The sequence below is a fragment of the Homo sapiens genome, chromosome 4 (assembly GCF_000001405.40).
Source record: "Homo sapiens chromosome 4, GRCh38.p14 Primary Assembly".
NCBI classification, from domain to species: domain Eukaryota; kingdom Metazoa; phylum Chordata; class Mammalia; order Primates; family Hominidae; genus Homo; species Homo sapiens.
Window position 1 is genome coordinate 79352122 of NC_000004.12, and position 10014 is coordinate 79362135.

At 36.4% G+C, this 10014-nt stretch overlaps 1 annotated feature.

Moving 5' to 3' along the window:
• Positions 831-1331: an enhancer, noted in NCBI's record as "H3K27ac hESC enhancer chr4:80274106-80274606 (GRCh37/hg19 assembly coordinates)". NCBI's record gives its function as "activates a minimal SCP1, AML or CMV promoter by ChIP-STARR-seq in primed H9 embryonic stem cells {active_cell/tissue: H9 hESC(primed)}" and the evidence as "EXISTENCE:reporter gene assay evidence [ECO:0000049][PMID:30033119]".

A 10014-nucleotide genomic window follows, 5' to 3' on the forward strand; every position in this document is an offset into this window, starting at 1 on the left:
CCAAGATTGCACCATTGCACTGCAGCCTGTGCAACAAGAGTGTAACTCCATCTCAAAAAAAAAAAAAAAAGATGAAAAAATCTTCAACGAAATACTAGCAAACTGAATCCAACGATACATTTTTTTTTTTCCCTGAGGGAGAAGCAACCCCACATTTAGGATTGGATTTTTATTAATATGTAGTATCTATGAGGTTTCCAAGTCCAGAAATCAATTCGCCAGTTCTGTACAGCATTCTGTAGGGAGATCAAATCTGGGATGTCTAAAATTAAGAATTCAGGCCTTGGTAATGGATTAGATTAGATCTACTTGAGCTTATTTTGCAAAGAAAGAGAGGAAGGGAGATAGCGAGAGAGAGAGAGAGAGAGACAGAGACAGAGAGAGACAGACAGAGAGAGACAAAGATACACACAGAGAGAAAGACAGACAGAGAAAGAGAGAGAGAGACAGAGAAAGACAGAGATGGACAGAGAGAGACAGAGAGAAACAGACAAAAAGAGAGAGAGACAGAGAGAGAGAGAAAAACAGACAGAGACAGAGAGACAGACAGAGAGAGAGACAGACAGACAGGCAGAGAAAGAGAGTAAGACAGAAGACAGATACAGAGAGAGAGAGAGAGAGACAGGTAGAGAGAGAGAGAGACAGAGAAAGAAAGAGAGAGACAGAGAAAGAAAGAGACAGACAGAGAAAGAGACAAAGACAGAGATGGACAGAGAAAGACAGAGAAAAACAGAAAGAGAGAGAGAGAGACAGAAACAGACAGACAGGGACAGAGAGAGAGACAGAGACAGAGACAGACAGAGAGACAGAGAAAGAAAGAGACAGAGAAAGAGACGGAGAAAGACAGAGATGGACAGAGAGAGACAGAGAGAAACAGAGAGAGAGACAGAGACAGAGAGAGAGAGAGACAGACAGGGACAGAGAGAGAGAGAGAGAGAAAAAACCAGACAGACAGAGACAGAGAGACAGACAGAGAGAGAGAGAGATACAGACGGGCAGAGAAAGAGTAAGACAGAAGACAGACACAGACACAGAAGCAGAGAGAGACAGAGAGAGAGAAACAGACAGGCAGAGAGAGAGAGAGAGAAAAACAGACAGACAGGAAGAGAGAGAGACAGACAGAGAGAGAGGGACAAACAGACAGAAAGAGAGAGAGACAGACAGGAAGAGAAAGAGACTAAGACAGAAGACAGACACAGAGAGAGAGACAGGCAGAGAGAGAGAGACAGAGGCAGAGAGAGAGAGACAGAGAGACAGAGAGAAAGAAAGAGAGAGACAGAGAGACAGAGAAAGACAGAGACAGAGAAACAGAGAGAAACAGACAGAAAGAGAGACAGAGAGAGGGAGAGAAACATACAGACAGGGTCAGAGAGACAGAGAGAGAGACAGAAGACAGAAAGTCAGGCAGAGGAAGAGAGTAAGACAGAAGACAGACACACAGAGAGAGACAGAGAGAGAGAGAGAGAGAGACAGAGAGAAAGAAAGAGAGAGACAACAATACATTAAAAAGATAATACAGCATGATCAAGTGGAATTTATCCAAAGGATATAAGGATGGTTCAACATATGCAAATCAATAAACATGATACATATGATTAACAGAATGAAGAAAAAATGATCATTTCAATAGATGTGGAGAAATTATTTGATAAAATTTAACATCCCTTCATTATAAACACTCTTCAACAACCTAGGCATAGAAGGAACATACCTCAACATAACAAACACCATATATGGCAAAGTCATGGTTAATATCACATTGAATGCAAAAAGTTGAAACTCAAATAATTCAACAGTAAAAAAATAACCTTATTCTAAAGTGCAAAAAAGAGATGAATAGACATTTTTGAAAAGAAGACATACAAATGGCCAACAAGTATTTGAAAAAATGCTCAACATCACTAATCATTAGGGAAATGAAAATTAAAATCACAATGAGATATTATCTTACCCCAGTTAGAATGGTGTCTTTGTCCATTTTGCATTGCTATAAAGGAATACCTAAGGCTGGGTAATTTATAAGGAAAAGAGGTTTATTTGGTTCAAAGTTCTGCAGGGTGTAGAAGAATCATGGCACTGGCATCTGCTTCTGATACAGACCTCAGAAAGCTTCTAATCATGGCAGAAGGTGAAGGGGGAGCAGGCATGTCAAATGGTGAGAGAGAGAGCAAGATAGCAAGAGGAGAAGTGGCACACTTTTTAAAATAACCAGCTCTTGTGTGAACCAATATAGCAAGAACTATATTAGCATTATACAACTCATTACCTTGGGGTTGATCACCAAGCCATGCATGAGGGATCTGCCCCCATGACCTAAAAACCTCCCACTAAGCACCACTTCCAATACTGGTGATCAAATTTTAACATGAGATTTGGGGGGGACAAATATCCAAACTATATCAGATGGCTATTATAAAGAGACCAAAAATAACAGATTCTGGAGAGTATGCAGAGAAAAGGAATCTCTTACACACTTATATACTGTGAGTATATAAACTAGTATAGCTTATGGAAAACAGCATAGAGATTTCACAAAAACTAAAGAGAGAACTACCATACACTCCTGCAATCCCACTACTGGCATTTACACAAAGGAAATGAGTTTATCAAAGAGATACCTGCACTCTCATGTTTACACTAACAAAGGAAAGATATGGAATCAACCTAAGTATTCGTTAACAAATAAAGAAAGAAATTGTGGTATATATACACAATGGAATACTATTTGTCCATAAAAAAGAATGAAATCATGTTATTTGCAGCAATATGGATGAAAATGGAGGTTATTATGTTGAGTGAAATAAGCCAGACACAGAAAGACAAATACCACACATCCTCACTCATATGTGGAAGCTAAAAAAGTTAATCTAACGGAGACATAGAGTAGAATAATAGATACCAGAGCACTGGTGTGTGCATGGAGTAGGGGAGGACAGAGAGAGGTTGGTTAATGGGTATAAGTATACAGTTAGAAGGAATACGTTCTAATGTTTGATAGCAGAGTAGAGGGACTACAGTTAACAACAATTTATTGCCTATTTCAAAATAGCTTGAAGAGAGGATATAAAATGTTCCCAACACATAGAAATGATAAATACTCAATATGATGGATATCCAAAATACCCTGACTTGATCATTTCACGTTGTATTCATGTAACAAAATATAACTCTACCCCATAATGTGTACAAATATGTATCAATAAATAAAAATAATTTTTAAAAACCTCAATAGGGACTTCTGGGTAAATTGTCAAGATCATTTTTTTTTTTTTTTTTTTTTTTTTGAGATGGAGTTTTGCTCTTGTAGCCCAGGCTGGAGTGCAGTGGTACGATCTCGGCTCACCACAACCTCCGCTTCCCGGGTTCAAGCGATTTTCCTGCCTCAGCCTCCTGAGTAGCTGGGATTACAGGCATGCACCACCACGCCAGGCTAATTTCATATTTTTAGTAGAGACGTGGTTTCTCCATTTTGGTCAGGCTGGTCTCAAACTCCTGACCTCAGGTGATCTACCCACCTCAGCCTCCCAAAGTGCTGGGATTACAGGCATAAGCCACCACACCTAGCCGATAATTTTAAAATACACAAAACAAGCGAAGGACCGTGAGCAACCAAAACACCTCTGAAGAAAAATAAAACATATATAGAGAAATAACCTACCACGTATGAAAATCTATTATCAGGGATAAAGAGTCATTTTATAATAAGAAAGGTAAATTCACGAATAGGAAAGGACAATTCTAAAGGTTCACACACTTAATACTATAGCTTCAAAATACATGACATGAAAATGGACAGAAATGAAATAGACAAGCCTTCAATTCTAGTTAGAGATGTCAATATCTTTCTTTCTTTTTTTCTTTTTTTTTTTTTTTGAGACGGCATCTGGCTGTGTCCCCGGGCTGGAATGCAGTGGTGCGATCTCGGCTCACTGCAAGCTCTGCCTTCCGGGTTCAAGCGATTCTCCTGCCTCAGCCTTCGGAGTAGCTGGGACTCCAGGGGCGCGCCACCACGGCCAGCTAATTTTTGCATTTTTAGTAGAGACGGGAAAATGTATAAATATTAGGTTTCCTTTTTTATTTGTTTTATTTTTATTTATTATTATTATTATTATTATTATTATTATTATTATTATTATTATTATTATTTTGAGACAGAGTCTCTCTCTGTCCCCCAGGCTGGAGTGCAGTGAGTGGCGCAATCTCGGCTCACTGGCAAGCTCCGCCTCCTGGGTTCACGCCATTCTCCTGCCTCAGCCTCCTAAGTAGCTGGGACTACAGGCGCCTGTCATCACGCCCGGCTAATTTTTTGTATTTTTAGTAGAGACGGGGTTTCACTGTGTTAGCCAGAATGGTCTCGATTTCCTGACCTCGTGATCCGCCCGCCTCGGCCTCCCAAAGTACTGGGATTACAGGTCTTGCCTTTTTTTTTATTTTTTTTGAGACAGGGTCTCGCTCTGTCTTCCAGGCTGGAGTGCAGTGAGGCAACCTTGGCTCACTGTTATCACCACCTCCTGGGTTCAAGCAATTCTCATGCCTCAGCTTCCCAAGTAGCTGGGATTACAGGCAGGCGCCACCACGCCCGGCTAATTTTTGTATTTTAGCAGAGACGGGGCTTTGCCATGTTCCCCAGGCTGGTCTCAAACTCCTGGCCTCCAGTGATCGGCCCACCTTGTCCTCCCAAAGTTCTGGGATTACAGGCGTAAACCACCGCACCTGACTGAAATATTAGGAAATTATATAACACACTACCAAATAACTATGGGTCAAATAGGAAATTACAGGAGGAATTAGTGTTTTAAACAAAAAAGTAAAACATTTTTCAAAACAATACTTGTCAAATTTGTAATGTTATTTTTCTTAAATTGGGTGGTAGGTTAACAGGTGTTTATTTTGTTATTATGCTTTATAGTTTCACTGTATTATAATTATACATCAGTTTGTATAAAAATATACAATTAAAAGATAAATGGAAATCTGAAATAAACACATGGAAAATATTCCCTTATGAAAGACTAGATAGGCATAATCCAAAATAGATTTGGGATTGATATGTGATAGATTTCAAGTTTCAAGGAAAAAGTAGCATTAAATCTTAGGCTACAGTATGTGAAGTCACTGGTTGATCGTTGTTTTTTCTTCTGAAAACATGTGATCTCCAATAACACTAAAAAACATACTACAACCTGTCCTTGTTGCATGTTTACGTTCTCTGTGGTCCTTGTCAAAGAATGAAAAATAAACATATGTGTTTCATGCAATTGGTTGTATCATCAGGCATCAAAAAAAAGAAACCATAGCATCTGCAATTCCCCATTTTAATTATATCCCGAAGTAATGGCTGCAGCTGAGCCATTTATTGCTTCTGTAAACGAGAGCCAGTAGAGGGAAGCTGTTTTTCCGTAAGTCATTTCTGAAAGGGGAATATAATGGCGACAGCAGAGGAGAGATGTTCAGAGTGAGGGACTTGGACTGACCTCTGATGTAATAAAAACAACTTAAGACAGGCAATATGTTTAGCATCTAGTAGTGAGGAACGTGGGGGTGGGAACAGAAACGTAACCATGACACAGAAGCAGTAAAGACCCAGATTTCGCTGGAGTCACCAACCAAAGTGCAATGTCAACAAAATATCAGCAACGAATTCAGTTTCTTTATTAATAATATAAATAAATATTTTTATTCTGAAATATTTTCATTTTTCTGAGATTAAAAAAATTATTTGTGTATGTAGAAAATTTTCCTGAGATATGGTTCTTAATACAAACACATATTCAATTATTGTTTACTTATGTGATTTGTTTTGGAATTTAGAGTTAAATGTTTTTATCATTGGTAATTTAAAATTACACTCACACACATACACACTTACACATACATATACATATATTCTTTAAATAGCTACAATTTCCCCAGGCAACTACTTACCATGACAAAATGTTGGTTGCTCAAAATCATTGTGTATTTTCTTAACCCTTGAATATTAAAGTACAAATAATTCTTCCTTTCTTCCCAGTATTGACAAACTTTGTGTGTTTTTTTTTTTTTTTTTTGCAGGAAAAAAAACCATACTTTCAAAAAAGATTGTATCACAGAGATTGTATAGGAGATTTTTATTATTGGCTAGAGAATAGATGTTTAAAACTTTTCATATTGACTAACCCTGAAAAATGAGGTTTTCATAATATTAAATGGGACCAGAAAACCATGTCAGATTTATAAAACTGTTTGTCCTACAAAACTATGTAAGTGGAAGTTTTTTGAAGAGGGTTGGCTTGAAGCACTTCATTATTTTGAAGACTGGATTAATGTTCATAGTTTTCTGTTGCTCCTTTTTATGGGGGTTGTCTCAAATGCAGTATATTATGCAATGGTTTTGTCATGTATCAGTAATGATATTAACAGTCTAATGCTAAACAGGTTCTGAGAAAATGAAGAGGGGAAAAAAATGACTTACTATATTTACCCTGAAACAAGATTCAATCTGCCACTGTATTTAATGCTATATTTTTCATTATCTCACAAGCATATGTTGAAACCACTACAGATAATGAAGTTAGCTGCTGGGCAGAGTTATCATCAATGCTTTCCATCTTTATTTTAATAAGAGGAATGAGCAAATTGTTTGTGACCTTTGTCAAGGGCTTCGTGAAAGACAAGACACCTAACCACAAAATCACTAGCCTGGAGCCCTATTGAATATTCAGATCCATCTTTCCTAGAATAAAATATTGTATAACAAAGCCATTGTTTCTGATAGAGCCATGTCTCAAACAAAAGGTCCAAAAGCTAAAGGTAAAATATACTTTCATTTTTTTTCTTTAAAAATATTGAATGTATAATATTTGTTGGTGGTCATGTTGAATTTATAGGAAAAACACATTTCTTTAAGGTCGATGCATCCTTATAAATAATAATGCCTACCCCTACTTAGGACACCAGATTCTTAGTTAACCTTGACACCTTTATAAAACCAAGCCTCCTGGGTTAAGTGGAATCATCATATTGAATAGCAAAAGCAACATCTCTTGAGAGCTTACCACCATTGTGCTAACCTCTTTACTCAGTTATTTCACATAATCCTTACTCTGGAGGTAAATCCTGTGATCAACTCCATTTTTTAGATTGGTAAACTGGGCAGAAGAAGACAGAGTAACTTACCTAAGATCATCCAGTCTGTGTTGGAATTCAGATGATAAAACTAAGACTTAAGGCATCTGACTCTGGGTGCCCAGTGACTGCTCTATGCTGAAGGGAACTGGTATTGCAAAATTGCTATCTTTTGAAATAATCTTAGTTATTATATAAATGATGTATTTAATATTTCTGTCTATTAAAAACATAAGAGAGTGTGAGAAAACTTTGGATTCTTAGGTGTATACCAGATTACCTTCCGAAATTATAAAAATAGTGGATTGCCTATATTTCCCTGAAGGAAGGCTGCATTTCCCTCCTAGAATTATCATAACGTATCTCTAGCTTGAGAATATTTTAGACATATATTTGGTCCTATTTGTAGACAAATATATGTTAGTTGCCATTCTCTGTATTGCCATTACATAACCAAGAAGGCCTAAGCTAATACAGACAGGTGCTTGTCAAGTTCAATCCCCTCATTCCTGAGTGGAAAATGGTCAATGCTGCTTGACTTGTAACCCTAGGTATAGGACAGTTTAATTCACAATAAAAAGAAAATAAACATTCACAATTGCCCTCTGCCTGTTAATTGTGGGAAGATCACTGAAGATAATACAATTTACACATGTGAACTTTTGGTCTTTTGTGCTCACTCTCCAAATTTTATTTTTGTACTTGCAGTTTTCCCTTAAGAGTAGTATACTTTTCTAAAACTCTCCTACAGTTATTTGTGATGAAAAAACACAATTGATTAGAAAAAGAATCAGCTCTCTATCTTAAAGTCCTGCTGTTATTCACAAGTGATTTTTTTAGTCTTGATTAGGAAGAAATATTTAACAGTGATGGTGCATTAAATTGTCTTTCTTTAGACAAATGCTACACAAAGTGGTTAGCCAACTGGCAACAATATCTAAACAGTTTGTTACCAGTTCATCATGCACAAGGGAGCTTGCCCCAGAATGTAAAACAACACATTGCATCCTTTATTGAGAATGTCTTATAATGAAAAGAAAAAATGTAGCTGAACCAAACAGTGTGCTTTTGATGTAGTTGATTTACATTCCCAGACTGGCACTTTAAGTAAGACTGCTGTAGACCACTTTCAAACAAGACTTCACAATTTCAAACATTCTTCCCTGCTGGATTGTCTTTGCTAAAAGCACTTTTCTATTGCTGTTAAGGCCACTTAGTCTCTATATTTCTCTTAACCTTTATAAGAAAATGAAGAAAACCTCATAAATACTTCTCAATGTCCTCCTTTTCTTAACATTAAATAGTTAATAGTCCTAATATTTCTCAATTAATAAACACATTATCAATCATTGAGGTTTTAGAATGAAGAACTATGAAATAGAAGTCCTAAGACAACTTGATTTCTTCTTATAGTAGTCATATATTGCTCACTCAATCTTCTTGTGACTTTTTTCTTACAAAAAACAAAGAAAATCACTTTTAATTCAAAAAATAGATCACAGTAATTTTATTTTTAAAATTTTCATATCAACTATCATTTTAAAATTTAATAAATACATCCATATTATCACTTCATAGACATTCTACCTTCCCATTATTAAATAGGGATATTTCAAGAGCAATATTATGGACCAATGCCTTGGGTTTTCCCAAAATTAAATGACTAAAGCCCCTGACACTGAATTTCAATCATATAATTTTATGTACGTGCATCTGTTAGTTGAAAAATTGAATATACACTGTCAAAAATTTTTTAACCGAAAGCTGTTTTGTAACATATTTTAAATGAAAAAATGGGATACAGTGTTATTCTCTTAGCTTGTTTCATTCTTGTTTGTTTTTTTTAGCTTCAGCAAAGAATTCCTGTCACAACATTAAAGAAATATGGACAGTCTTCAGGGATGCAATTGAAAATGAACAAATATGAAAATAAAACCATGGTTAACCCTAATAGATATAGTAAGAAAAGCAAATTAGGATTTGGAAATGAGGAAAATATCTAAGCAGTCACTTATATAAGAGTCACAAAATTGGAACAATGCTGTCAGTCTAGCAGTGACATACAAATGACACTTTTGTGAAGATTCACTGTACAGAATTAGTCTTGAATGGCTAGATCTAATTTGAACACGATACCTCTTTTCAACTCTTAAATTTCTTAAATTAATTTTTACTAATCATTATTCAGTTTTTATTTGGCCTAGCCTCTTAGGTGCTACACTTGAGTCTTTCTATCAATGACCCCACTCCTGGGAACACAGTCATAGAAGAACAGGATAAATTGCTGTCCTGATATGAACTGACTCCCAGGGTGGTATGCCTACATGCTTTGCATTGGGCTAATGGGCAAGACTTGAACAGATGTGTTGGAAATTCCCACTTCTGTTTTGTCAGTTAACGTTGATAGACAAATATACTATAATGGCTGCTATACGGAGTTTGCAAAGAGAAACACACCTCTTGAGAATAATAACATTGATATCCTTTGGAGTTGCATAAAAAAATCTGGGAGAAAAAAAGATTTCTTGAAAGTGTTCTCCTATGAGTATGTTTTTCTGTGCTATCATAGACTCGGCAAACTGTCTTTTGCTGTTGGGGTTATAGTCTGGCTATACTGAGGTAGAAACAATCATTAAAGGAGTAGACGTGAAATTCTGAATCAGGAAGACTAATTCTGGAGTAGCCATTTGGGGACTCCAGATAAGCCCTCTGAGACATTAGTGGTTAGCTGTCTGCAAAACAGGGCTCTTAATTTCTACTTTAGGAGATATTTTTGAATAGTAGAAGAAAAAATACTTAGAGATAGTTTAGATGTTAATAGACATTAGGTGATCAATTAATGCTTAAAAATGTTTTTGTCTAGGTGCAGATACATTCACTCTTGTTTTACACATGTAATTTCAACTT